Consider the following 27,937-nt stretch of genomic DNA (forward strand, 5'->3'; position numbering starts at 1 on the left):
GCCTCTGGCAGGTGGCCTGGAGGTGGAAAGGCCTATCCGATCACCAAGACTGAGGGGCGCCCTCCCCACCACCCAGGCAAGGAGTCCAAGGAGACCAGCGGAGCAGACCACGCGGCATTTATTGTTGGGCCCGCGTCCCTGCCCGCCCCGGGTTAGCGGCAGCCGCACTCGTCCACCACCATGTCCTCATACTGCCGCAGCACCACGTTGTCGCTGTTGTCAAAGAAGAGCACGGAGATGGGCGACAGGCGCGCGGGCACGCAGCAGGGCAGGTCGGCGGCTCCCGGGGCGGCCGCGTGCATGAGCGCGCGCAGCACAGCGTGGTTGAGCGCCGGCGGCCCCCCGGACCCCGACAGCGCGACGGGCAGCGCGCACTGACCCTGGCAGTAGTTGGCCAGGAAGCCGCGCGGCGCGATGACCCAGCGGTGCCAGCCCACCTCGCGGAAGCTCACGTACAGCCGCCGCGCGCGACAAGCGCCCCCGGGGCCGCCGCCCAACACGGGTTCGGCGTCGCGCCGCGGCCGGGCCAGGGGGTGGCACAGGCGCGGGTCGAGGGTCACCAGCAGCAGCGAGGCCTCGGCCAGGCGCGCGCAGGCGGCAGGGGCCCGGGGGCGTAGCGCCAGCGCCAGGCGGAGGCTGCGCGGCCATGAGGCGTTGCGAGCCCAAGCGGCGCCCAGCAGCTCCGCGCGCACTGGCGGCCCCAGGGCGGGCACCAACTGGCGGAGCAGCACCGGCCCGGGGTCCGCGCCCGCGCCCTGGCCCGCTTGCGCCACGCTCAGCTCCCAGCCGCCCTCCGGGGCTGCCGCCGCCGCCGCCGCGAAACGCAGCTCCAGGCGGGCCCGGCTCGGGCGCTCAGCGGGTTCCACAGCCGACAGGTCGAAGACGACTGTCCACTCAGGGCAATGCCCCGCGGCCGAGGCAGGCTCCGAGGCCCGGGTGGGCGCACCTGGGGAGGTAGGAACAGGAACTCGGCTCGCGCTGCGTCCCCGGCCTGCCCATGGGGTCTCGGTTAGGGACAGGGAGGAAGGTGAACGCTGGGGCTCGGGGCGCACCGTCTGTGGGAAGGGTGTGAAGCGGCGGGGTGGGCTGATGGAGTGGGGGCAGGGCATGAGTTCCAAGGAAGGCGCCCTGCGGGGTGCGGCGGGGGGGGTGGGCTGCCCTCGGCGGGGGGCATAGGAGGAGGGGTGGCCGAAGTGGGAGACATGAGCCAGAACCTGGGCCCCTGGGGAAGCCATGCTAGGGTGTGGGGATGGCATCTGCAGGAAGGCATTAGTGTCAAGAGGTGGGGGTGGGCATGGGGTGGGGACAGGGCTTCAGCATCAAGCAGAAGGACTGGTCTTGGGAACCCCCTGACATGTGTCCCCGGCGTGCAGCAGATGACGAGGAAAGGGTGAGGTGCGGTGGCCGAAGTTGCTAGTAGCCTGGACAGGGCGGGTGGGGACCCTCGGAGCTGCTCGGGCATCCCCGGGCCACTCTCGAGGCTCGCCCTGCGAGGTCTGGCCTCCAGGACCAGTGTCCCCAGCGAAAGCCCCACTCACCGCGGTCCGGGATGTGGCGCACGATGTTTCCGGCGACCCCCAGCTCCTCCACGTGGCACGGTTGCAGGGTGACCCCTGGGGACGTCCGCCGCGAGCCAGACCTGGTCTCCTGGGGGTCCCGGCGTCGAAACAGGCGCCACATGACCGGGGGAACCGGCCGGAGCCTGGGGGCACCCTGGGGCTCATCGCGCAGTCCTAGAGCCTGGAGCAGGGCGGCGGCTGGGCCTGGGGGCACGGGGGCGCGGGTCAGGGGCAGCGAGGGCAGCAGCAGGGCCAGGAGGAGGAGGAGGTGGTGGCCGCAGGGACCTTGCTGCGGCGGTGGCATCTTCCTCCCAGGCGATGACCAGAGAGTGCGCAGGGTCCGCGGCGGCCCGGGACCAGTGGGCTGAGGGCGGGGCCGGTGTCCCCGGAGGGGCAGGGGTCCTGGGGGGCGTGGCCGGGAACTGGAGGCAGGATGAGGGGGCGGGGTCCCAGGGGAGGTGGCGGCGGCCCTAGAGGAGCAGAGTTGGAGGGGGTGGAGGGGCGGCCAAGGACGGGGAGCGTGGCCGGGGTATTCGGGGTGGGGCCGGGTCCACGGGGGCGGGGCCGAGGGGTTCAGAAGCGCTTGTCCTTCACCAGGCCGTTCCTCAGTGGCTTCCTGGGGGTCAGAACCGGCGCAGGTTAGCCTGGGAGCCCCACGCGGCCGCCTGGCCCTCTTTCCCGCTTCTTCTCTGGCCGTTTCACACCCCCTGGCTCCTTTTACCCGGCCAGGCCCGGGCCTCGCCTTGTGGCTTCCTCCTCGCCTTCACCCTGCCCCTCCTTGCCTTCACCCTGCCCCTCCTTCAACCTGCCCCGTAGGCACGTATGTCCCCCCTGGCACCCTGGCACTTCCTCCTTGCTTCCCCCTCTCCAATTAAACCTTCCTCTTCCCCTCCTCCCTGCCTCTCCAGGCCGCTGGAGGGCAAAACCCACGTACCGGCCTGGGCCTGACAACTCCACCGCCTCCACAGTGGGACCCTGCACATCCTCCTCTCCTCTGCCACCCACCCCACGAAGGCTAGTCCTTGACTCCAGTGGCCCTGGCTGGCATCTGCTGTCTCCACCTACTTCCCTTCCATGTTCTTTTATTTTCCTTTTTTTTTTTTGGTCTTACTCTGTGGTCCAGGCTAGAGCTGTGGCACAACCTCCAAGGCTCAATGGATCCTCCCACCTCAGCCTCCAGAGTAGCTGGGATTACAGGGGCACGCCACCACTCCCAGCAATTTTTTTTTTTTTTTTTTTTTGAGACAGAATCTTGCTCTGTTGCCTAGTCTGGAGTGTGGTGGCACAATCTCAGCTCACTGGAACCTCTGCCTCCTGAGTTCAAGCGATTCTCCTGCCTCAGCCTCCTGAGTAGTGTGGTGGCACCTGCCACCACACCCAGCTAATTTTTGTATTTTTAGTAGAGACAGGGTTTCACCATATCACCCAAGCTGGTCTTGAACTCCTGACCTCAGGTGATCCGCCCACCTTGGCCTCCCAAAGTGCTGGGATTACAGGCGTGAGCCACCGTGCCTGGCCCCAGCTAACTTTTTTTATTGTTTGTTGAGATGAGGTCGCTATGTTGTAGAGGTGAGGTTGCTATGTTGTCCAGGCTGGTCTCAAACTCCTGGGCTCAAGCAGTCAGCCCTCCTCCGCCTCCCAAAGGGCTTCTGTCACTTTAATTCGCTCTTCTCTTAGGCTGAAGCTCAGCTTCTCTGCATGCATTTCACAGCCAACTGGCTGTCCCCATCCAAGGACTGTTGGTCTTTATCTGAGAGGAGATAAGCCTTGCTTGGACCTCCCATCTGTCACTTGTCTTCTGATTTTGCCTGTGATCCTTGAGACCGTGAGTGGCGTTTCTTCATCCACCCTTGTGGCTTCTCGATTCTTCCCATAAACAAACCTCCGTGACACACTGTCCCCTTTTGGCTCTGGGATGACTCCAGGGATTCCATTTCTGCATCGACACCTTTGGTATAAGGTGGGGGTTTGCCCTAAGGCTTATGGGAAACAAAGACACACCCTCACTGTGTTTTCCAGAGGGTCCCCGTGCTTTCCATTCCTGCCCTCCAGGATGGTCTTTAGTATTTGCTAAAGGTTTTAAGGTCTTAGGTTAGTTTCTCCACTCAGTTCCCACAGAGAGTATAGATTCCTCTAATGGTAAAGTTTAGCATCCTCGGTGATGGGTGCCCCCGCCCTGGGGCTTTTTATCAGAGCTTTCCTGCTGATTCTTGTTTGTTTTTTCTGCAAAAGCTTCAAAGTGTTCTCTACCCACTCAGAAACAGCTGTCAGTATTTGCCTTTTGAGGTGTGGGTGGCGGTGTACCCACCTTGGGGGAGATAGCTTTTCTCTGTTATCTTTTTTTCTTGTTTTGTTTTTTTTTGAGATGGAGTCTCGCTCTGTCGCCCAGGCTGGAGTGCAGTGGCGCAATCTTGGCTCACTGCAACCTCTGCCTCCCAGGTTCACGGGATTCTCCTGCCTCAGCCTCCCCAGTAGCTGGGACTACAGGCATGCAACACCATGCCCGGGGTAATTTTTTTTTTTTTTTTTGAGACGAAGTCTCGCTCTTGTCCCCCAGGCGGGAATGCGGTGGCACGATCTTGGCTCACTGCAACCTCTGCATCCTGGGTTCAAGTGATTCTCCTGCCTCAGCCCCCCAAGTAGCTGGGATTACAGGCGCCTGCCACCACGCCCAGATAATTTTTGTATTTTTAGTAGAGATGCGGTTTTACCATGTTGGCCAGGCTGGTCTAGAACTCCTGACCTCAGGTGATCCACCCGCCTCAGCCTCCAAAGTGCTGGGATTACAGGCGTGAGCGCCGCGCCTGGCTAATTTTTATATTTTTAGTAGAGATGGGATTTCACCACGTTGGCCAGGTTGGTCTCGAACTCCTGACCTCAGGTGATCCATCCGCCTCAGCCTCTCAAAGTGCTGGGATTTATGGGCGTGAGCCACCATGCCGGGCCGAGATGGCCTTACTCTGATGGACACCTTTTGGCTTCTATCCACCACTGTGGTGAAAAGAGCCAGAGCGAGTGTGCAGAGAGAGAAGGATGATGCAGGCACTTTCTAGATGTTTCTTCATAGATGAGGAGGAGAGGGAGACAGAGGAGACAAGACCCCCTGGGCTCTTGCAAGGGTTTTGCCCCAAATTGCTGTCAACACCGATAGACTAGTGTTGACACTAGTCTATCACTAGAGAGGGAGTCTGGGGTGAAATTGGGGGCTGATTTGAGATATTTTAGAAGATGCTGGAAATGTCAAACACGGGAGATGGAGAATGGCACTCAGGGGAGCTGCGTGGCTAGGAGAGAAATGTAGGAGTCGGTGTGGATTAAGTGTGGGTAGAGAAAGGGCCCCAGAAGAGAAGGAGGCCAGCCAGGAGGCCAGAGAGACAGAGCAGGAGTGCAGAGTAAATAAAGGGCTTCAAGGGCCAGGCGCAGTGGCTCACGCCTGTAATCCCAGCACTTTGGGAGGCTGAGTCAGGTGGATCACCTGACCCTAGGAGTTTGAGATCAGCCTGGGCAACACAGTGAGACCCCATCTCTACAAAAATTTTAAAAATTAGCCGGGGCCAAGCATGGTGGCTGATACCTGTAATCCTAGCACTTTGGGAGGCCAAGATGGGTGGATCACCTGAGGTCAGGTGTTCAAGACCAGCCTGGGCCAACATTGTGAAACCTCATCTCTACTAAAAAAAATACAACTATTAGCCAGGTGTGGTGTACACGCCTGTAATCCCAGCTACTCGGGAGGCTGAGGCAGGAGAATCGCTTGAACCTGGAAGGCGGAGGTTGCAGTGAGCCGAGATCTCACCACTGTACTCCAGCCTGGGTGACAGAGCGAGACTCTGTCTCGAAAAAAAAAAAAAAAGAAGAAGAAGGGGAGGGGACTCTCTGGGGTTAGCACCAAGAGAGCCACATGGGAGCTGGACAGGAGTGGTCTTCGGGATGGGGGGAGGAAGATGGGGCACAGCTGGGTTTGAGGAGGACCCAGGAGGATCTAGGAATTCTGCTACAAGGGAGGGAAAACAGGCTGATGAGGCCAGTGGTGGAGAAGAGCAGAGAGCACGTTCTCTCCTGGGTTGAAATGTCCTTGAATAGGCAAGCTGGGTGAACATCCCTAGCCTCAGAGAGAGGGACTGTTGTCCACTGTAGCAGCAGCTGGACATCCTCACCCGGCCACTTCTGCTTTCTTGGGGACATGTTGGCCAGATTATCAGTGCAGGAGATGATGATGATGGGGACAGCTGGTGCCCAGGAACCCTCAGGAGAGAAGATGCTCCTACATGGGCCAGATGTAGGTGCTGAAGTTCACAGTTTTCTATTTTTATTTTTTGAGACAGGGTCTTGCTCTGTTACCGCAGCTGGGGTGCAGTGGTGCAGTCATGGCTCACTGCAGCCTTGACCTCCTGGGCTCAAGCCATCCTCCAGCCTCGGCCTCCCAAAGTGCTGGGATTACAGGTGTGAGTCACCGTGCCCAGCCCAGTTCTTTAGAACTGCTGCAGGGGCAGTGGCAGGTGCAGCAGAGGTGAAAATGGGATTTACGGAGCATTGAGTGCAGGTCACCAGATCCAGAGAGAGGTGAGAGTGTCTCAACGGATGGCCGGTCCCGGCAGCCCCTGAGAGGGCAATGGGGACTTTGGACAGAGGGGCTGAGTCATGACAAGGACATGGGAGTGACCACAAGGAAGCTACGGGCGTCAGTGTAGGAGAGAAGGGTACTGGCTACCCACATCACCAGGGGTCCCCTGAGGGCCATGAGGAGGACAGGGAATTCAGGGGAAGGGGTACAGATGAGGGGACCCTGGAGGTGAGGCTGCTCAAGAAGCAGCAATGGGGTGAGATGGGGTGAGGAAGAGATCAAGCCAATTAATTGCTCTCTGATTTGCTTCACGCCTCCTGAGTTACCTAAAAGTGGTTCTCGGTCTTGGTTTTCTGAAGGGTTCCAATCCTGATTGAATTTTCGGAACCAGGCAAAGTGGCTCATGCCTGTAATGCCAGCACTTTGGGAGGCTGAGGTGGGAGGATTGCTTGAGGCCATGAGTTTGAGACCAAACTGGGTAATATAGTGAGATCTCGTCTCTACAAAAACACTTTAAAATTAGCTGGATATGATGGTGGGTGCCTGTGGTTCCAGCTACTTGGGAGGCTGAGGCGGCAGGATCACTTAAGCCCAGGAGGTTGAGGCTGCAGTGGACTATGATTGAGCCAGTGCGCTCCAGCGTGGGCGACAGAGTGGGACCGTCTCTAAAAAAAAAAAAAAAGAAAGAAAGAAACAGGCTGGGCGCGGTGGCTCACGCCTATAATCCCAACAATTTGGGAGGCTGAGGCAGGAGGAACACTTGAGGTCAGGAGTTCAAGACCAGCCTGGCCAACATGGTGAAACCCCATTTGTAAAAATACAAAAATTAGCTGGGTCTGGTGACACACGCCTGTAGTCCCAGCTACTCAGGAGGCTGAGGCAGGAGAATTACTTGAACCTGGGAGGCGGAGGTTGCAGTGAGCTGAGATCACACCACTGCACTCCAGCCTGGGCGACAGAGCGAGACACTGTCTCAAAAAAAAAAAAAAAAGAAGCTTTTGGATTCAACTGTTAAAACGGTAATCCACCTGGAATCCTCTCTCTGCTGTGGAGAGCTTTCTTTTATTAAACTTTTGCTCCAACCTCGGCCTTTGTGGCCACGTTCCTTAATTTTCTTGGTCATGAGACCACAAGCTCAGACAACACCTTAGACAACAAGACCAGTGACCCTGACCTGCTTCACCATGATAAGTGTCCTTATGAGAGAGAAGAGAGACAGAAAAGAAGAAGAGAAAGCCCTGGGAAGACGGAGACTGAGACTGGAGCAATGCAGCCATAAAACAAGAAATGCCTGGAGCCACCAGAAGCCCAAGAGGCAAGGAGGGGATCCTCGCTTAGAGTTCCCAGAGGGAGCACCGCCCAGCTGACCTTGATTTTGAACATCTGTCATCCAGAAATATTAGAGAATAAGTTCCTGTGGTTTTAAGTCACAAGCTTGTGTTCCTTTTGTTATAGAGTTCCTGGGAAAGTAACATTCAATGCCTTTTTTTCACTGCAACCTCTGCCTCCCGAGTTCAAGCGATTCTCCTGCCTCAGCCTCCTGAGTAGCTGGGATTGCAGGCGTGCGCCATCATGCCTGGATAATTTTTCGTATTTTTAGTAGAGATGGGGTTTCACCATGTTAGCCAGGCTGGTTTCCAACTCCTGACTTCAAGTGATCCACCTGCCTTGGCCTCCCAAAGTGCTGGGATTACAGGCGTGAGCCACCGCGCCTGGTCTTCAATGCCATTTTTGATGGTCTCTCATACCTGTTTTTAAAATAAACTTTTTTGTTTGTTTTGGTTTGTCTTTTTTCTTTGTTTTGAGACAGGGTCTTGCTCTGTTGCTCTGGAGTATAGTGGTGTGATCACGGCTCACTGCAGCTCCCTGGCTTAAGTGATCCTCCCACCTCAGCCTCCTGAGTAGCTGGGACTATAGGTGTGTGCCACAACACATGGCTGTTTTTTGTTTTGTTTTGTTTTGATTGGGTTGTGTGTGTGTGTGTGTGTGTGTGTGTGTGTAGGAACTGCATATCCCTATATTGCCCAGGCTGGTCTTGAACACCTGGCCTCAAGCCATCCTCCTGCCTTGGCCTCCCAAAGTGCTGGGATTACAGACGTGAGCCACCACGCCTGGCCAAACTTTTTTATTTTAGATTAATTTTAGATTTACAGAGATGCTACAAAGGGAGTAGAGGGAGCTCCTGTCACCTCCATCCAGCTCCCCTGACATTACAGCTTACATTTCCATGGCACATGGGTTGCAGCTAAAGAAACCGACATTGGTGCTTTGCTATTAACTAAACTCTCCACATGATTTGAATTCACCAGCTTCTTGGTGAAGGTCCCTTTCCTGGTCCAGGAGCCCATGCTGCAGGTGGCATCTGTCTCCTTGGTCTCCTCTGACCCTGGATTGTTCCTCGGTCTTTCCCTGATTCCCATGATCTTGACAGTTTCTGGGCATCCTGACGGGCTCTTTTGGAAGACGTCTCTCAGCCTGACTGCCTTCGTCCCATCCTGTTTTATACCCAACTGCACTAACTCCGGCTGTCCTTGGAGAATCGAATTCTGCTGGTGGTGCCTATGGGATCAATCATCACAGGGTGTTCCCTGATACTCTCTGGCACTTCTGTACAGGGTGCATGCTTTGCTGTCCTAGAGGACATGCCAGCTCTTACCCTGTGTTCTGATGAGACATCCTCAGCGGGGACAGAGCCAGACACTGGTGGGGCTGGGAGGTCTGGCTTCCTCTTGTTCTGGGTTCTGCACCTCCGAGGATGTCCCCACCATGAGCTCACTGTTCTACAGCAAGAGGACCTTCCTGGTGTCTAGATGTGGCCAAACTGGTGCCCCCTTTAGCCATCGCCACCTTTGGAAGACTCCTTGGAGAGACCTAGCTGATCTCTGGAGAATTCCCGACTCAGGCCGGCTGCAGTGGCTCATGCCTGTAATCCCAGCAGCTTTGGGAGGCTAAGGCATGTGGACCACTTGAGCCCAGGTGTTTGAGACCAGCCTGAGCAACATGAGGAAACCCCAGCTCTACAAAAAATACAAAAGTTAGCACAGCATGGTGGTGCATGCCTGTGGGCCCAGCTACTTGGGAGGCTGAGGCAGGAGGATCACTTCCTGGGCCTGGGAGGCGGCGGTTGCAGCGAGCCGAGATCGTGCCACTGCACACTCCAGCCTGGACGACAGAGTGAGACCCTGTCTCAAAAAAAAAAAAAAAAAAGAATTCTTGACTCATGCTCAAAGGACAGCGCAATCTAACACCCTCAAAAGGAGGCTCCTAACGCCGCATCTGCCAGAACCCATGTGACCCTCTGCCCCAATCCCATCTCAGTCAATACCAGCTCGAGCCAAAAGTCTTGAGTCGTCTTTGATTCTTTTATTTCTGTTTCATCTACACCCAAGGCGAATCTGATGGGTTCTCCCTTCCAAACAGGGTGGGGGGTCTGACGCTCCTCTGCCTGGCTACAGCCCCGGATGTGTTAAATGTCTGCATCTCGCACCTCCCGTTCCAAAAAACGTCACGGAGCTCTGAGCCACTGCTTCCCTGAAACCATCGTTCCCACGTCACCGATGGCCCCCACCGGCCAAATCAGAGGGCCTGGCTGGTCGGCACCTTCCAGGGCCTTCCACAACCTCCTGCCCCGGCTCCTGCTCAAACACTCCTCACGTTGCCTATGAGACACTGCACACCCGACTCTGCTTGTTACCCAGTTTGGCCTCCGTTCATCCCTGGCCCAGACACCCCCTGCCTGCCCCAGGCCTGGGGCTTCGGACACCATCTGGCTGTCACCCAGGGCTGGTGAGGCTCGTGGGCTATCTCCTTCCCCAGGACTCCCACCTGGGCTGGACTGAGTCTGAGCTCCCAGCCCCAGCTCCTGTTTGGCCGGGCAGTGGGCTCCCCTGTCAAACTCAGAGGCCAGGATGTCTCGGCCCAGATGGAGCCTGGGTTCTCTCTGTGGCCCTTGGCGTTCCTTCCTCCCCAGCCCCACTGCCACCAGCTCCAGTGGCGACATGGGTCAGAGGTCGTCATCCAGGCTGGCCAGCAACTACTCCTCACCACCCACAGGGCCCTGGCTCGCCACTCCCGCCACACCAGCCACTAGGCCTGGCCCTCAGTGTCCCTACCGCTGAGACCCTGCCTGTCGCCCTGCCTGCCCCTCCCCAGCCTCTCCCTCCCCTTCCTCACTGTCCTGTCCTTCAGGGTACTGGCCACATCGTCCACGCCTTTATTGCAGTCTCTGTTTTGGAGTAGGCTTGGGGGGCAGCATCCGCGTCGGCCTCATCTGCTGCTGGGTCTTGGGGGCCTGCCCACGAACACGCTTGGACGGGTGACACTAAAGGAGGGAACGCGGGGTGCGGGCCCCTCCACACTCACTCGGCTTTGCTGGGCTTCAGGCTCTGGGCCTCGGCTGTGTCATACTCCCGCAGGTCCTTCAGCTCGTGCACCTGGCCTGTCAACACCTTGGCTGCAAACGCCACGATGTACTGCGAGAGGGGAGGGGAGGTGCCAGTGAGAAGAAAGCCCCCACGCCACTGCCCTGCTGACAGCCATGTGCTCCTGTCCCGGGCCCTCCACACGGGCTGTCTGCCACCTAACGTGCCCCTCCCCGGGACTGCCTGAGGAGGGGACAGGGATTGGGACGAGGACGGGACCGCCACTGTGGAGGAGAGCCGGGGCCGACTCACCAGGAACCAGTAGAGGTTCATAAGGGTGAGCAGCAGCAGGAGCGCATTGAAGAAGAAGTAGAAGGGGATGTCAGGCACCGTGCGCAGACTGCAGTGACTGGTGGCATACAGGACCTTGAGCGGGAACCAGTAGAGGCGGAACCAGAACCTGCGGTGGGAGGAGTCAGGAGGCCGTGGGTGGAGGGGGACGGTGCCCTACCCAGTCCCTGTCCTATCCCGTCCTAGACCCACCCTTGCCCCCTTATCCCATCCTTGCCCACCTCTGCCCACCTGTTTCTACTACTGCTCTGTCCTTCCCCTCCCCTGCCATGCCCCGCCCACCTCGCCAAGGCCCCACATCCTTCCCCGCCTGGCCCCCCACTTCCCTGCCAGGCCTCACCCACCTCGCCAAGGCCCCACCTCCTCCCCTTCCCAGTCCCTCCCCTTCTCTGCTAGGCCCCACCTACCTCACCAAACCCCACCTCCTTCCCTGCCCAGTCCCTCCCCTTTCCTGCCAGGCCCCACCCACCTCACCAAGGCCCCACCTCCTTCCCTGCCCAGTCCCTCCCCTTCTCTGCCAGGCCCCGCCCACCTCACCAAGCCCCCACCTCCTTCCCTGCACAGCGCCTCCCTTTCTCTGCCAGGTCTTCCCCACCACACCAAAGCCCTACCTCTTTCTCTGCCTAGCCCTACCCCAACCCTGCTTGGCCCCACCCCTGGCTTGCTCTGTATTAGTCTAGCTCTTCCCCTTCCATGCCTGGCCCAACCTATCTCACCAGGCCCCTCCCCTTCCTGGATCCACCCACCTCACCTGGCTTATCCTTTTCTGCCCAGCCCCACTCCTAGCTCAGTTGGCCCCACCCTTGTCCTACTCCTTTCCTGTATAGCCCCGCCCCTTCAGTCCCACCCAAATCATGAGGCCCCTCCCCTGTCATGCCACACACCCACCTCACCGGGCCCCGCCTCCTTCCCTGCCTGGTCCCGCCCCTTTTCTGGACACACCCACCTCACCAGGCCACACCTCCCTCCCTGCCCAGCACTCCCTACCACTCACCAGCTGAAGCCGAAGCTGAGGCAGCCCAAGTCTGCTGCCAAGGCATGCAGCCGATGGTAGGAGCCGCCGCGGGACTTGAAGTAAATGTTGAGCTTGGTGAACTCAAGCTGCACGTCACTGATATCGTGCAGGAAGAGCACAAGGATGCCCACATTGTGGTACCTGGGGGAGCAGCAGGCAGAGAGGAGAGGGCAGCTCACATTGGGGGACCTCCACTCTGCACTAAGGCCCCCAGCAGAGTCCCTGGGCTACACCTCAGGCTCCCCGTGGGCCTCTTCAAAGCCACCCTTCCTGCCTCGCCTGCCCTGCCCATCTCCACTTCCCAGGATGCCCTTTCCTCACTGTCCCCCACTTAGCCGTGCACCCCCAACCAGACCCTCATCTTCCCTGCCTCAGTGTCCCCATGTGGCCCAGGGAGCTCCCTGGAAGTTTATTTTTCTTTTGAGACAGGGTCTTGCTCTGTGGCCCAGGCTGGGGTGCAGTGGTGTGATCGGGCCCACTGCAGCCTCAAACTCCTAGGCTCAAGTGATCCTCCCACCTCAGCCCCCGGAGAAGCTGGGACTACAGGAAAGCAACACCACACACGGCTAATTTTTTTAATTTTTAGTAGAGACTGGGTCTTGCTATGTTGCCCAGAATGGCCTCAAACTCCTGGGCTCAAGCGATCTTCTCACCTTGGCCTCCCAAAGTGCTGGGATTACAGGCGCGAGCCACTGTGCCCGGTCTTGGAAGTTCCTTGCTGGCCCCTCCTCATCTTGGTGACCTCTGACCCTCTATGACCCCCGACTCTCACAGGCCTGGGGTACTCTGTGTCCAGATCCTCCATGAGCTTGTCCCTCACTTTGGACACCACCACCATGATGAGACTTCCAGGTCTGTACGTGCAGCCTGGCCATCGCTGCAGGAAAGGCCTCTGCCGCAGCCCATCAGGATCCTTTTTTTTTTTAATTTTTTTTTTTTTTTGAGACAGAGTCTTGCTCTTGTTGCCCAGGCTGGAGCGCAATGGCACGATCTCAGCTCACCGCAACCTCCACCTCCCGGGTTCAAGCAATTCTCCTGCCTCAGCCTTCCCAAGTAGCTGGCATTACAGGTATGTGCCACCACGCCCAGTTAATTTTGTATTTTTAGTAGAGACGGGGTTTCACCATGTTGGTCCCGCTGATCTCGAATTCCCAACCTCATGTGACCCACCCGCCTTGGCCTCCCGAAGTGCTGGGATTACAGGTGTGAGCCACCGTGCCCGGCCCCATTAGGATCTTAATAAGCCCGAAGGCCATCCCCTGTCCTTCCACAGAGTCTCCATCTGACAGATGAGCTGCCCGAGGGTCCTGGATTCACCCTGGACGTGGGGAAGTGTCTCTCACCAAGTCCCTGTTCCTTGCTCTGTCTCCTGACAGCTCCTGGGCTCCTGCCACAGGTCCTTTGCACGTGCTGTCCCCATGACCCAGCATGCCAGTGCCTGGCATTCAGCACCTCCCTTCACTCCTTTCAGTCTCTGCTCATCTGCTCATCTGTCACCCCCAGACCAACTAACACCTAACACCTGCAGCCACAATTTTTTTTTGGAGACACAGCCTCACTCTGTTGCCCAGGCTGGAATGCCTCGGCTCACAGCCACCTCTGCCTCCCGGGTTCAAGCGATTCTCCCACCTCAGCCTCTTGAGTAGCTTGGACTACAGGCACTCATCACCATGCCCAGCTAATTTTTTTATTTTTAGCAGACACAGGGTTTCACCATGTTGGCCAGGCTGTTCTCAAACTCCTGACCTCAGGTGATCCACCCACCTCGGCCTCCCAAAGTGCTGGGATTACAGGCATGAGCCACTGCACCTGGCCTTTTCTCCATAATTCTTATCACCTTCAAATGAACTGTTCCTTCCTTCCTTTTTGGTTCTATCATCTGATTCTGCCCTCTAGAGAGCCTTGAATTATAGAACTTTCTAGAACTATGGGAATGTTCTAAACCTGTACTGTCCAACATGGGAGCCACCAGCCACTTGTGGCCACTGAGCCCTTGAACTGTGGCTTGTGTGGCTGAGGAATGGAATAGGGGCTTTTTAAAATTATTTTTTAAACTAACCAGACGTGGTGGCTCACACCTGTAATCCCAGCACTTTGGGAGGCCGAGGCAGGTGGATCACTTGAGGTCAGGAGTTCGAGTCCAGCCTGGCCAACATGGTGAAACCCCATCTCTACTAAAAATATAATAATTAGCCGGTGTGATGTCATACCCCTGTAATCCCAGCTACTTGGGAGGCTGAGGCGAGGCGGGAGGATTGCTTGAACCTGGGAGCCGGAGGTTGCAGTAAGCCAATGTCATGGCACTGCACTCCAGCCTGGGCGACAGAGCGAGACTCTGTCTCAAAAAAATAAGTAAGTAAATAAATAAGATAAAGTAATTTTAAAAATGTATTTATGTACGTGTTTGTTTATTTTTGAGACGGAGTCTCGCTCTGTCGCCCAGGCTGGAGTGCAGTGGCATGATCTCGGCTCACTGCAACCTCCGCCTCCCGGGTTCATGCCATTCTCCTGTCTCAGCCTCCTGAGTAGCTGGGACTACAGGCGCCCACCACCACGCCCAGCTAATTTTTGTATTTTTAGTAGAGACACGGTTTCACTGTGTTAGCCAGGATGGTCTCGATCTCCTGACCTCATGATCCGCTCGCCTCGGCCTCGCAAAGTGGTGGGATTACAGGCGTGAGCCACCGCACTCAGCCTAAAAATTTATTTATTAGAGACAGGGTCTCCCTACGTTGCCTAGGTTGAACTCAAACTTCTGGGTTCAAGCAATCCTCCTGACTCAGCCTTCTAAGTAGCTGGGGGACTACAGGCATGAGCTACTGCTCCTGGAGTTTTATTTAAGTCTAATTAAAGTTGAAAGGGCCACCTCTTTGTTGCTCTATATTTGTGGGGCGTGGCTACCCTATTATCGCAGCTAGAGCAGCTAGTCCCGTAGGAATAGTATATGAGCAGTGTATTTCATTTTAAAGTTTCTATTGGCCACATTTAACAAGAAAGAGAAAAGAACAGGTAATATTAATTTTAATAATGCATTCTAATTAATTCAGTATATCCAAAATATTGTCATTTCAATATGGAGTCGAGATAACAAGGCCAGGCGTGGTGGCGCACACCTGTAATCCCCACACTTCGGGGAGCTGAGGTGGGAGGATCACTTGAGCCCAGGAGGTCCAGGCTGCAGTGAGCAATGGTCACGCCACTGCACTCCAGCCTGGGTGACAGAGTGAGACCTTGTCTCAAAAAAAAAAGAGAGAGAGAAATAAAAGGGTGGATAAGATATTTTCACTCGTTTGTATGTGAAGGCTTTGAAGCCGGGTGGGTTTTATGCACACAGCATGGTGAGGTTTGGACAGACTCCATCTGAAAGGCTCACTGACGGCTGTGGTTGGCTCTAGAACATCAGGGTGTGTCAGCTGCGTTCACAGCCATGCCCCCATTGCTTGGGCGTGGCAGGTGCTCAGGAACTCCTGGGTGTGTGACCTGGCTGGTCAAGGGCAGCGTCTGAAGAGCTGGGTGGGTGAGTGGGGTGGGGTGGCTATGGCTCTCTGGGCCTGTTTCACCCCATCCCAGCGGAATCTCCCTCAGGAATCTCCGGGCCCACATCCCCTCCTCAGCCTTCCTGCCTCTGGTCTGTCCCCTCGTCGGACCCCTGAGCACTCTGACCTTGGAACCCTGAGCACTCCGACCTGATGTGATCCCCTCCACGGCCTCCTCTGTGCCCCGCCGCAACATCAGCCTCCGCACTCTGTGTGGGCTGTGCCTCGGCCCCCTGCCACCCGATCCTGTCCTTACCGGAAGGCGTAGGAGGAGACGATGAGGATGAGAGTGACCACGTGGTGGAGCAGCATGACCACCGAGTCCTTGCGCCAGGTGTCCATGTATAGCGTAGCGTAGATGGAGTGGCCATAGAAGCTTCCCTGGAGCAGGTAGGCGGCTGCAATGTCCCGTGGCACTGCCATGCCCGGCGTCCAGTCTGGGGAGAGCCAAATCTCACAGTCAGGGCCCTGCGAAGCCTCTAGACGATCGCCTCCATGACCCGGTGACACCCTCCAAGCCACACGTGTCCTCCCAGTACCCAGGTAACCATGCGTGTCTGACTGCTGGCTTTCCATTCCCAATTCTATTTTTTTTTTTTTTTCTTTGAGACGGAGTCTCCCTCTGTCGCCCAGGCTGGAGTGCAGTGGCATGATCTCAGCTCCACATCCTGGGTTCAAACGATTCTCCTGCTTCAGCCTCCTGAGTAGCTAGGACTACAGGTGCATGCCACCAAGCCCGGCTAATTTTTTGTATTTTTAGTAGAGACGGGGTTTCACTGTGTTACCCAGGATGGTCTCGATCTCCTGACCTCATGATTCACCTGCCTCGGCCTCCCAAAGTTCTGGGATTACAGGCGTGAGCCACCCCGCCCAGCCGTCTTTTTTTTTTTTTTTTTTTTTTTGAGACAGAGTCTCGTTCTGTCACCAGACTGGAGTGCAGCGGCACGATCTCAGCTCACTGCAACCTCCACCTCCCAGGTTCAAGCAATTCTCCTGCCTCAGCCTCCAGAGTAGCTGGGATTACAGGCGCTGGACACCATGCCCGGCTAATTTTTTTGTATTTTTAGTAGAGATGGGCTTTTGCCATGTTGGACAGACTGGACTTGAACTCCTGATCTCAGGTGATCCACCTGCCTCGGCCTCCCAAAGTGCTGGGATTACAGGCGTGAGCCACCGTGCCCGGCCAGCAGGGATTTTTATTTTAGGAAGAGTTTTGGGTTTCTAGGAAAATTGAGCAGATAGGACAGAAAGTTCCTTTCTTTCTTCTGCCCCAACATACCCACAGATTTCCATTTCCCTGGCTTTAAGTGGTATATTTGCTACAAATGCTGAACTAATATAGACACATTATTATCATTATATACATTTAAAATGTTTTATATATAGTTTTAGAGTTGGCTTGTTCTGTGGCCCATGCTGGAGTGCAGTGGTGTGATCATAGTTCACTGCAGCCTCGACCTCCTGGGCTCAAGTGATCCTCCCACCTCAGCCTCCTGAGTAGCTGGGACCACAGGCACCCATAACCATGCCTAGATAATTTATTTCTTTTTTAATTTTTGTGTTGCCATGTTGCCCAGGGTGATCTCGAACTCCTGGGCTCAAGCAATCCTCCTGCCTTGGCCTCCCAAAGTGCTGGGGTTACAGGGATGAGCCACCTCACCCAGCCCAGCGCCCCTTCTCGTTTTTTTTTTTTTTTTTTTTTTTTTTGAGATGGAGTCTTGCTCTGTAGCCCAGGCTGGAGTGCAGTGGCGGGATCTCGGCTCACTGCAACCTCCATATCCGGGGTTCAAGTGATTCTCCTGCCTCAGCATGCCAAGTAGCTGGGATTACAGGCACCCACCACCATGCCTGGCTAATTTTTTTTTTTTTCAGTAGAGACAGGGTGTCATCATGTTGGCCAGGCTGGTCTTGAACTCCTGACCTTGTGATCCGCCCGCCTCGGCCTCCCAAAGTGCTGGGATTACGGGCGTGAGCCGCTGCGCCCGGCCTCTTCCTGTCTTTAACAGAGCCCTGCCTTGCGGGTGTCCTGGGCCCACTCCCTGCAAATCCCTGGCCCTGACAGATGCGGCTGCCCACGGAGTCTTGCCATGCCCGGGCACACCATGCCACCAAGCGCAGGGTCTCCCGCCAAGCGGGTCCTGCCTCACCTTCCCCTCCTCCTGCCTCCTGGTGCACCTGACCACCACGCTCAGGTGATGGGTGACACACCAGCCCACCCCACCACGTCCACCTCCTCCTCTCCTCAGCCACATCCCCAGAGGCTGCCAGACACCAAATTCAAGGGCTATGCTCTGGACGGGCACGGTGGCTCATGCCTGTAATCCCAGCATTTTGAGAGGCCGAGGCAGGAGAGTTGCTTGAGTCCAGGAGTTCGAGACCAGCCTGGACAACATGGTGAGACGCTGTCTCTGCAAAAAAATATATAAAAATTAGCTGGGGCCGGGCGCAGTGGCTCACGCCTGTAATCCCAGCACTTTGGGAGGCCGAGGCGGGCGGATCACAAGGTCAGGAGATCAAGACCATCCTGGTTAACACAGTGAAACCCCGTCTCTACTAAAAATACAAAAAATTAGCCGGGTGTGGTGGTGGGCGCCTGTGGTCCCAGCTACTCGGGAGGCTGAGGTGGGAGGATCACTTGAGTCCTGAAGGGAGGCAGAGGTGGTGGCAGGAACTAAGATGTTGCCACTGCACTCCAGCCTGGGAGACACAGCCAGACCCTGTCTCAAAACAAAACAAACAAACAAACAAACAACAAAAAAAGGCGGGAAGCCATGCTGTGCTCTGCCCACACCAACCTGGAACTCTCTGGGTTGCTCCCTGTTCTCTGGCCACTCCCTTTCTGCAGACCCCCAAGACAGACCCTCCAGCCTCCATCTGCGGCTTCCTGGCCCCTGCCTTGGTGACCTGCCCTGCAGCCCAGCTGCCTCCAGATGCCCCATGAACCGCCTCTGCGACAACTTTCATCTCGGCCTGGCCCCTTCTGCAGCCGAGTTACACTAGGACCCCCATCCAGGGTCCCCTCTTTGGCCCATGCCACCCCCACCCCAGTCCAGGCACTGTTGTCTCCTGCCCACATCTCTCCAGCGATCCCTGGCCCCCATGACTGTTTGTCCACTCTCCTCACTCAGCCCTGAAGGCCATGTACACACAAACGGTCACCATGACCCAGCAAGTCCACTAGGGTGTGTGCCTGACAATGGAAAACGGGGACTCAAAGAGATACTCATGTGTCCCTGTCTACAGCAGCACACAACCAAAAGGCAGACACAACCCGAATGTGCATCAGTGGATGGATGAAGAATAGATAGGTTACCTCCACACAGTGGAATACTATGCAGCCATGAAAAAGAATGAAGCACGGATCCATGCTACAATGTGGGTGAACCCCAAAAACATGATGCTGAGTAAGAGAAGCCAAACACAAAAGGTCACACAGTGTGAGACTCCAGTGATCTGAAATGCCCAGAACAGGCAAATCTACAGAGATAGGAAGTAGATTGGTGGCTGCCAGGGGCTGGGGGAGAGGACTGGTGAGTGACTGCTAATGGGACGGGGTTTCCTTTTGTGGGGGATGATAATGTTCCAGACCTAGACAGAGGGGGTGGTTGAACAACACTGTGAATGGACTAAAAGCTGATGAACTGTTCGCTTTAAAATGGTTAATTTTTGGCCAGGAGGTGGAGGCAGGTGGATCACCTGAGGTCAGGAGTTGGAGACCAGCCTGGCCAACATGGCGAAACCCTGTCTGTACTAAAAATACAAAAATTAGCTGGGCATGGTGGCGCATGCCTGTAATCCCACCTACTCGAAGGCTGAGGCAGGAGCATCACTTAAACCCGGGAGGCGGAGGTTGTGGTGAGCCGAGATCACACCACTGCACTCCAGCCTGGGCAGCAAGAGTGAAACTCCATCTCAAAAAAAAAAAAAAAAAATTGTGTTAAGATTTATATGGCAAAAACTTACCATCTAAGCCATTTGTTAAGTACACATTATTGTGCAACCATCACCAGCAGCCATCTCCAGAACATTCTCCTTCTTCCCCAATGGAACAGTCCTCTGTCCCCATTAAACAGTCTCTCCCCATTCCCCTCCCCCAGCCCTGGCACCCCCCATCCCACTTTCTGTCTCTATGAGTGGGATGACTGTAGGAACCTCATATAAGTGGAATCACATAGTATTTGTCTTTTTGTGATTGGCTAAAATGCCTAATTTCAAGCTACATACATTTTACCTCAATAAGAAATGGAGGCCAACTGAGGTGGCTCACGCCTGTAATCCCACCACTTTGGGAGGCCAAGGTGGGTGGATCACTTGAGGTCAGAAGTTCAAGACCAGCCTGGCCAACATGGTGAAACCCCAGCTCTACTAAAATACTAAAATTAGCCAGACATGGTGATACACACCTGTAGTCCCAGCTATTCGGGAGGCTGAGGCAGGAGAATCGCTTGAACCTGGGAGGCAGAGGTTGCAGTGAGCTGAGATGGTGCCACCGCACTCCAGCCTGGGTGACAGAGCGAGACTCCATCTCAAAAAAAAAATTAGCTGGGTGTGGTGGCTCGTGCCTGTAATCCCAGCCACTCATGAGGCTGAGGCAGGAGAATCCCTTGAACCCAGGAGGCAAAGGTTCCAGTGAGCTGAGATCACACCACCACACTCCAGCCTGGGCGACAGAGTGAGACCCTGTCTCTTAAAAAAAAAAAAAAAAAAAAAAAAAAACAGGCTAGGTGCGGTGGCTCATGCCTGTAATCCCAGCACTTTGGGAGGCCAAGGGAGGCAGATCACCTGAAGTCGGGAGTTCAAGACCAGCCTGACCAACATGGTGAAACCCTGTCTCTACTAAAAATACAAAATTAGCCGGGTGTGGTAGTACATGCCTGTGATCCCAGCTACTCCGGAGGCTGAGGCAGGAGAATTGCTTGAACCCAGGAGGCAGAGGCTGTGGTGAGCCAAGATCGTGGCATTGTACTCCAGCCTGGGCAACAAGAGCGAAACTCTGTCTCAAAAAAACAAACAACAAACAAACAAAAAACCCTCCCCTATTCCAGAATTTCTTTCTTTCTTTTTTTTTTTTTTTTTTTTGAGACAGAGTCTTGCTCTGTCGCCTAGGCTGGAGTGCAGTAGCATGATCTCGACTCACTGCAACCTCTACCTCCCAGGTTCAAGCGATTCTCTTGCCTCAGCCTGCCGAGTAACTGGGATTACAGGCATGCATCCCCACGCCTGGCTAATTTTTGTATTTTTAGTAGAGACAGGGTTTCACCATGTTGGCCAGGCTGGTCTGGAACTCCCGGCCTCAAGTGATCCGCCCACCTCAGCCTCCCAAAATGCTAGGATTACAGGTGTGAGCCACTGCACCCGGCCCACTTCAGCCCTCTTCCAGAATTTCAATGAAAATTGTCTGAAACTCTGAAATGCCCTGATCCTCTCCATCCTGACTCTCCAGAAACATGTGAGCCCGAGCTTTTGCCCAGGGCCACCCTGCTGGATCTGTTGCCCACCTTTCCAACAGAGGCCCCCCAACCGTCCTGTAGCTCCTTCCCCACAGGATAGGGGGGAAGTCCTGGCTTAGTTCAGAGGTCTCAAATCTCCTCTCCCTCGTTTTTTGAGAAAGGGCCTCACTCTGTCAACCTGGCTGGAATGTAGTGGTGCAATCTTGGCTCACTGCAGCCTCGACCTCCCGGGCTCAAGCCTCAGCCTCAGCCTCCTGCCCCAGCCTCCCCAGGAGCTGGGACCACAGGCACGCGCCACCATATCCAGCTAATTTTATTTTTTTATTTTTTGTAGAGATGGCGTCTCACTATATTCCCAAGGTTGGTCTCGAACTCCTGGGCTCAAGTGATCCTCCCACCTTGGCCTCCCAAAGTACTGGGATTCCAGGAGTGAGTCACCGCACCTGGCCTGTCCCACCTCTTCATACTCATATCCCACCTGCTGTTGGGACACTCAATGCCACCCCTGCCTTGTCTCCATCCCTGAATCCAGAATCTTGGTCTCCCTGACCAGCCCCCATCTCACAAGACCCTAGCATCATCCTCACCCTCTTCCTTTCACACCACCTCTAGGGTGGCAGCAAATACTATCAGCTCTGCCTTCTAAACATTTCTAAAATTGGCCACTTTGCTCCCATCCCCTCCCCTCAGCTCAATCCTGGTGGGAGTCCCTTCAGGCTCCAGCTCCTGCTGTCAGCCCCCTCCTGGACCCCTGGGGTAGATGCCCAACCCAGGGTGACATCCCTCCTCTGCTCCCAGCCCACAGATAAGTAACAAATCCTGACCGTGGCCTCCGAGGCCTGGATGGCATGGCCCCCACTTGCCTGGACAGCAGTCCCTGCCTCTCCTGCCTGCTCCAGGCACCTCCAGGCCCTCACTCAGTCCCCTTAAGTGGGGCCACCCCTGTCCCTGCTAAAAACTGCCCCTCCCCACCTCCCCAACACAGCACACTGCCTCTTCTCTCCACACAAGTTTTCTCATCCACACTTATTGCTGTTGATAGACTGCGTACTGCACCGTCTGTTGCCCCTGCCACACGGCCAGCTTCATGAGGGCACAGGGCTTTCTCTGACCCGTTACTAGCTGTGTCTCAGCTGTGGCATACAGTAGTCGCTCAATAAATAGACATGGAAATAATCAGCTAACTTGTGAGTGTCATTTACAAAAAGCAACTAAGGCTGGACGAGGTGGCTCATGCCTGTAATCCCACCACTTTGGGAGGCTGAGGTGGGAGGACTGCTTGAGGCCAGGAGTTCAAGACCAGCCTGGCCAACATAGTGAGACCCCATCTCTACCAAAAAACACAAAAAAATTCGCTGGGGGTGGTGGCACACACCTGTGGTCCCAGCTACTCAGAAGGCTGAGGTGGGATGATTGCTTGAGCCCAGGAGGTCCAGGCTGCAGTGAGCTGTGATCGTGCCACTGTACTCCAGCCTGAGCAACAGAGTAAGACCGCGTCTGGGGAAAAAAAAAAAAAAAAAAAAGCAGCTAAAGGCAAGTCCATGCCCAAAATGTTAAGAGAGGCTGGGCGTGGTGGCTCATGCCTGTAATCCTGACACTTTGGGAGGCTGAGGCGGGCGGATCACCTGAGGTCAGGAGTTTGAGACCAGCCTGGCCAACATGGTGAAACCTCGTCTCTACTAAAAATACAAAAATTAGCCGAGGGTGGTGGCGCGTGCCTATAATTCCAGCTACTTAGGAGGCTGAGGCAGGAGAATCGCTTGAACCTGGGAGGTGGAGATTGCAGTGAGCCGAGATCGTGCCATTGCACTCCAGACTGGGTGACAGAGTGAGACTGTCTCAAAAAAAAAAAAAAAAGTTATGAGAGTTCGATCATGGGTCATCCGTCTAGAAGGAAAACTGAGCAACAGCTAACACCTCCCCTCTAGGGGATCAAGGTGTGTTACATGGGAAAACTGGCCCCATGGGTGGCACATCCACTGTACACTCTGGGCTCCGTGCCACCAGGAGCCCTCTAGGCTGTTCCCATCACATGGCAGGAAACAGCTATCATGTGTGTCCCTGGCCCACAGCCCTGGTGGTCCTCGCAGGGCAGAGAAGCCGCAGCCCCCACTGCCCCATCGCAGATGGGGTTTCCTACATCAGCCTGCCCAGTGGCGATGCCGGCCCTGCCCTGCATTCTCTGCCAGGACAGGTCACACAGAGCGCGCTGCAGTCACCTCCCTGCCCAGCCCACCCGGAGCTCAGGCCACATCCACTCCAATCAATTGGACACAGCCACTTCTTATCATCTTCCCCTCCACACCCCCAACCCCCAGGCAGGGTCTCGCTCTGTTGCCCAGGCTGGAGTGCAGTGGCATGACCTCAGCTCACTGCAACCTCCACCTACCGGGTTCAAGCAATTCTCCCACCTCAGCCTCCCAAGTAGCTGGTACTACAGACGTGCCCCACCATACCAGGCTAATTTTTTGTAGAGATGGAGGTCTTACCATGTTGCCCCAGCTGCTCTTGAACTCCTGTGCTCAAGTAATCCTCCCACCTCCGCCTCCCAAAGTGTTAGGATTACAGGTGTGAGCCAGTGAGCCACCACGCCCAGCCCACTTCTCATTCTCATCTTTTTTTTTTTTTTTGGAAATGAAGTCTTGCTCTGTCACCCAGGCTGGAGTGCAGTGGCACCATCTCGGCTCACTGCAACCTCCGCCTCCCGGGTTCAAGTGATTCTCCTGACTCAGCCTCCCAAGTAGCTGAGATTACAGGCACGCGCCACCATGCCTGGCTAATTTATTTTTGTATTTTTAGTACAGACAGGGTTTCACCATGTTGGCCGTGCTAGTCTTGAACTCCTGACCTCAAGTGATCCACCTGCCTCAGCCTCCCAAAGTGCTGGGATAACAGGCGTGAGCCATCGCACCAGGCTTCATCATGTTTATCTCCTCACCAAGATGGTGCAAGCCGAGGGGACCCTCCCACCTCCATAGGGCAGCCAGAGGAAGCATTTTGTCATCCACAAAACCCAATCCTCTCCATGCTGTGCTTAAAAACATCACATTCAGGCTAGGTGCAGTGGCTCACACCTGTAATCCCAGCACTTTGGGAGGCTGAGGCGGGCAGATCATGAGATCAGGAGATTGAGACCATCCTGGCTAACACGGTGAAACCCCGTCTCTACTAAAAATACAAAAAATTAGCCGGGCGTGGTGGCGGGCGCCTGTGGTCCCAGCTACTCAGGAGGCTGAGGCAGGAGAATGGCGTGAACCCAGGAGGCGGAGCTCACAGTGAGCCGAGATCGCGCCACTGCACTCTAGCCTGGGCGACAGAGCGAGACTCCATCTCAAAAAAAGAAAAACAACCACATCCAGAACAGAACTCAAGCTGCTGCCTCAGCTCTCTGCAGCCACCCTCCTCCTGTCCCCATGAAACGTGAGTGCCTCCGGGCCTTTGCACGTGCTGTTACCGACACCTGGAATGCCTGCCTGGACCCACACAGGGGTCCTTCCAGGATGTCTTCCCTGAGCTCCAACACGGCCAGATACCCCCTTTCCTGTCCCCAGGGATCACCTTTGTCTTGGGGCTGGCTTAACTTCTGAGACACCCATAGGAGCTCTGATTCTGATAAGCATCCCCTTACACTGTTCTTTTTTTCTTTTCTTTTTTAATACAGAGTCTCGCTCTGTTGCCCAGGCTGGAGTGCAGTGGCGCGAACTCGGCTCACTGCAACCTCTGCCTCCCAGGTTCAAGCGATTCTCCTGCCTCAGCCTCCCGAGTAGCTGGGATTACAGGCGCCCACCACACCCGGCTAATTTTTTGTATTTTTAGTAGAGACGGGGTTTCACCATGTTAGCCAGGATGGTCTCGATCTCCTAACCTCGTGATCCACTCACCTTGGCCTCCCAAAGTGCTGGGATTACAGGCGTGAGCCACTGCGCCTGGCCCTCTTTTTCTTTTTTGATACAAGACAGGGTCTCACTCTGTCGTCCAGGCTGGAGTGCAGTGGCGTGCTCATAGCTCCCCTTGGCCTCCAACTCCTGGGCTCCAGTGATCCTCCTGCTTCTGCCTCATGAGTAGCTGGGACCACAAGCCTGGCGTCTTTGTGTTTTAAGCAGAGCCCTCCCGGCCATCCCCTCAGGGCCCCTACCGTAGAAGACAGATGGTGGGTCATGGAAGAAGGGGTAGTCGGTGCCAAACAGCAGGTAGGCACTGTAGCTCCAGCTGCCCAGGTAGAAGAGAAACTTCCAAGCGCTCTCGGGCATCTTGGCGGCATCTCTGGGCTGGAGGCAGCACCGCTTCGCCAGGGGCTATGGGGGAGAAGACAGGCGGGCAGCCATTGGTGCTGGGGGCCAGAGACTGCTCCTTTGGGGTGGGGAAACTGAGGCCCAGGGACTCCCCAGGCCGGGCAGCACTGGGAAGGCCTGTCCCCCATGCCCACAGCCACCTGGAGCATAAACAGAGCCCACAGGCGCCTGCCAAGGCTAAACTTAGTGCCCAGCTGTCCGGCCGCCGCGGTGCTGGGAGGGGAGTGAGGGGGGAGGCCCCGAGGGGAGCAGGAGGGCTCTGGGGGCCAGAAGGGGGACACTTGGGCTTACGATGAGGGAGACGGATGGATGCGTCAGCCCAAGGGAGTTGGGCTGGTGGGGGTGACCCTTGAAGGGAACATGGAGGGGGTTATATGGGGGCATCTTGGGAAACACAGAGAGCCCCATGGGACCGACACAGAGGGGAGAGGAAGAACTTGTGAGGAAGCCGCCCCCTCAGTGGGAGATTCTGGAGAGGCTAGAGGGCTGGGAGAGACTAGGGGGAAGGTGTGGCGGGGACATGGGAACCTGGGGGCGATGAAAGGGGAGGAGGGGCTGGAGGCAGAAAAAGGGGACAGGAGGCGGAAAAGGTGTCACAGGCGAGGTGAGACCCTGAGGGGACATTGGGAGTGCAGAGGAAGCTGCTGGCTCCAAGGCAGGGGTTGGGGAGTGCGGTGGGTGGGTGGGTGGCGGGGCGCGGCTCCAGAGCTGCCCGGCCAAGCCCCACCCCTGGACAAGTCCCACCCCCTTCCCAGAGGCTGAGGGGGCCGGAGCCCAGAGCACCCAGCAGTTGTCATGGAGACAGCTGGAGCCGGCTCCGGTAACCCCTGGCAACCAGGCTGCTGCCAAGAAGATCAGCTTTGGAACACCCGGCAGCCCCTCCACCCATTTCTGAGGAAGGGCGAGCCTCGAAATGGGGCGAGCACCCCACCCAAGGGGCTGGGGAGGGCCCCCGGGGCTCGGCCCTGGTAGTCTACCAGCCGCCACATCCTCCTGTCCCGCAGGGGTGGGGGACGGCTTGCCCTCCTGGGTCTCGGGCTTCCCAGCTGGAAACTGGGAAGAAGGCAGGGGCAACAAGCAGGATAAAGACCACTGCGGACCCAGGGAGGGGCCCTGGACAGCCCTGTCTCCCCCTCCCACAGTAGGGGTGTGGCTGGGGTCTCTCCCTCATGTGGGTGATATGGGGACGGGAGTGGGGAGAGTGGCAGTCAGACAACATCCCATCATCGACCTCACAAGGGCCAGCCTCTTCCCGGCCAGCAGAGAAAGGCCCCTTTGTTGGCGCTGGGCACATTGTCCCTGCACCCTCCAGCCAGACGGGCGGGGTGACACCAGCTGGTCCACGGGGGTGTCCAGGCCAAGCTAAAGGCCCAAACACCTTCCAACCAGCTCCTGCCACAGCGACCCCTCCCCAGGGAAGTGAGTGGGGTCAGGCGCCAATGTCACCATCATGGTCACTCTCTCGCAGGGGCGATGGTCTCCGCAGAAACTGGGGAATTCTGCTGTCGCCTCTTGGAGGCAGCACAGTCCAACCCTGAAGCCCCGGGCCATGTCACCTCCAAGGGAGCGACCACTGGCGTGGCCAGAGCACCCAGGCCCTTGCCATCCCTGGTCGGAGGGTGGCGCTGACCCCAGATAGGCACAAGGCAGCGACCGGGCAGCTCCTGCCTCTTCCCGATTACAGCGGGCAAGCCGGCCCCGCCGCCGCACGGACCCAGCAGAAAACGGGCAGCGGACCTCGCTCCGGGCCGGGGCGCAGCCCGCATGGCAGGGAGGCGCATGGCGCAGGCCGCGGTGCGCCGAGCCCTCCCGTTCCCGGTCCTGGGCTTCTCAGTGTCTGGCTCGGCCCTGCCGGAAAGAGCGCGCGGTGGCCGGAGCCATCCACCGCGCGGGGCCCCCTGGTCCCAAACTGACCGGAAAGGGCCGTGCCTCGGTCCCCCACGTCTCAAACATCCCACCTGTCTCGGGCCCCCCATGTCCCAGACTCACCCCAGCCCGGCCACACCCCCGCATCTACCCGGTTCCCCCACGCAGCACTGTCTGAAGGGGGCGCGCGGCGGCCCGAGAGACCTTATCCTGGGGCTCCAACGTCCTGGGCCTCTCCAGCCCGAGGCCCCCACCCACGTTCCGGCGACCCCTTCATCCGCAGCAGCCAGCGCTGGAAGAAAGGAACGCGCCGGCGGCCCCAGGTCCCCGGTCCCGGCTTCCCCCAGTCCGGGGTCCCCTCGTCCCGGCCCCCGGCCACACTGACCCGAAAGAGGCGCGCAGTGGCCGCGGAGCGCAGGGCGGTCCAGCCCAGCGCGCCGAGCGCCAGCAGCAGCAGCTCGGGCGGCGCCAGGTGCGCGTGCTCAGCCAGGCCGCGACGCGCCAGCCCCCAGCCGCAGTCCGTGCAGCCCCGCGCCGCCGCCAGCGCGCTGCCCCAGCCGCGCTGCACTAGCTGCGCGTAGCTCGGCATGGGCTCGGGCCCCGTCGGCCCCGCCGCGGGCCCCGCCGCCGCCATACCGCCCGCTCGCCCGCCGTGCCCGTCGCCTGCGCCCGCCCGCGGTAGCCGACGGAGCCGCGCGCCCCGCGTCACGCGCCGCAGCTGGGCCGGGGGCGCGCGGGCGGGAGAGCGGAGGGCGGAGGGGCGGGACCGGCGCAAGCTCCGCCCCGCTGGGGGCGCGGCTGGGGGGCGGCCAGCGGGGACGCGGGGCGCCCTGGAGGCGGGCCCGCGCCCCTGCCCGTTTCCCAGCAGAGAAACCCAGGCGCGGGGGCCGGAGCTGGGGGCCCGTTGGACCTGGACCCCGAGAGACCCCGCGCACCGCCGTGT

The 27,937-nt window shown here is 57.2% G+C and overlaps 2 protein-coding genes across 12 annotated transcripts in view, besides 3 other annotated features; both read right to left on the reverse strand.

Moving 5' to 3' along the window:
• GDF1 (growth differentiation factor 1) lies at nt 101-27,714 on the reverse strand. 2 transcript variants are annotated; one of them, NM_001492.6, is made up of 8 exons: nt 27,380-27,714; nt 24,972-25,131; nt 15,643-15,823; nt 11,830-11,991; nt 10,797-10,944; nt 10,486-10,595; nt 1,539-2,175; nt 101-946 (listed from the first exon to the last, which is right to left on the reverse strand). In NM_001492.6, the coding sequence occupies exons 7-8, from the start codon at nt 1,861-1,863 to the stop codon at nt 153-155; spliced, it is 1,119 nt and encodes a 372-aa protein (NP_001483.3). In that variant the 5' UTR covers nt 1,864-2,175; nt 10,486-10,595; nt 10,797-10,944; nt 11,830-11,991; nt 15,643-15,823; nt 24,972-25,131; nt 27,380-27,714; the 3' UTR covers nt 101-152. The 2 variants fall into 2 exon arrangements, with proteins under 2 accessions (NP_001483.3, NP_001374367.1); NM_001387438.1 differs by lacking the exons at nt 10,486-10,595; nt 10,797-10,944; nt 11,830-11,991.
• CERS1 (ceramide synthase 1) overlaps nt 101-27,937 on the reverse strand; it is a 28,438-nt gene continuing 601 nt past the window's right edge. For 2 of the 10 annotated variants that reach the window (NM_001387443.1, NM_001387442.1), the window contains exons 2-7: nt 24,972-25,131; nt 15,643-15,823; nt 11,830-11,991; nt 10,797-10,944; nt 10,486-10,595; nt 9,467-9,654 (exon numbers count right to left, since the gene is read on the reverse strand). In NM_001387443.1, the coding sequence (NP_001374372.1) occupies nt 9,573-9,654; nt 10,486-10,595; nt 10,797-10,944; nt 11,830-11,991; nt 15,643-15,823; nt 24,972-25,086 (798 nt within the window). In that variant the 5' untranslated portion in view covers nt 25,087-25,131 and the 3' untranslated portion in view covers nt 9,467-9,572. Of the gene's footprint in view, nt 2,176-9,466; nt 10,596-10,796; nt 10,945-11,829; nt 11,992-15,642; nt 15,824-24,971; nt 25,132-27,145; nt 27,715-27,937 lie in introns of those variants that run through there. The other 8 variants (NM_021267.5, NM_001387440.1, NM_001387439.1 and 5 more) reach the window with 8 other exon arrangements.
• Nucleotides 11,758-11,807: a silencer, noted in NCBI's record as "silent region_10423". NCBI's record gives its function as "represses an Ori minimal core promoter by ATAC-STARR-seq in GM12878 lymphoblastoid cells {active_cell/tissue: GM12878}" and the evidence as "EXISTENCE:reporter gene assay evidence [ECO:0000049][PMID:35858748]".
• Nucleotides 15,614-16,114: an enhancer, noted in NCBI's record as "H3K4me1 hESC enhancer chr19:18994867-18995367 (GRCh37/hg19 assembly coordinates)". NCBI's record gives its function as "activates a minimal SCP1, AML or CMV promoter by ChIP-STARR-seq in primed H9 embryonic stem cells {active_cell/tissue: H9 hESC(primed)}" and the evidence as "EXISTENCE:reporter gene assay evidence [ECO:0000049][PMID:30033119]".
• Nucleotides 26,715-26,764: a silencer, noted in NCBI's record as "silent region_10424". NCBI's record gives its function as "represses an Ori minimal core promoter by ATAC-STARR-seq in GM12878 lymphoblastoid cells {active_cell/tissue: GM12878}" and the evidence as "EXISTENCE:reporter gene assay evidence [ECO:0000049][PMID:35858748]".

This window comes from Homo sapiens, chromosome 19 (genome assembly GCF_000001405.40).
Source record: "Homo sapiens chromosome 19, GRCh38.p14 Primary Assembly".
NCBI lineage: Eukaryota > Metazoa > Chordata > Mammalia > Primates > Hominidae > Homo > Homo sapiens.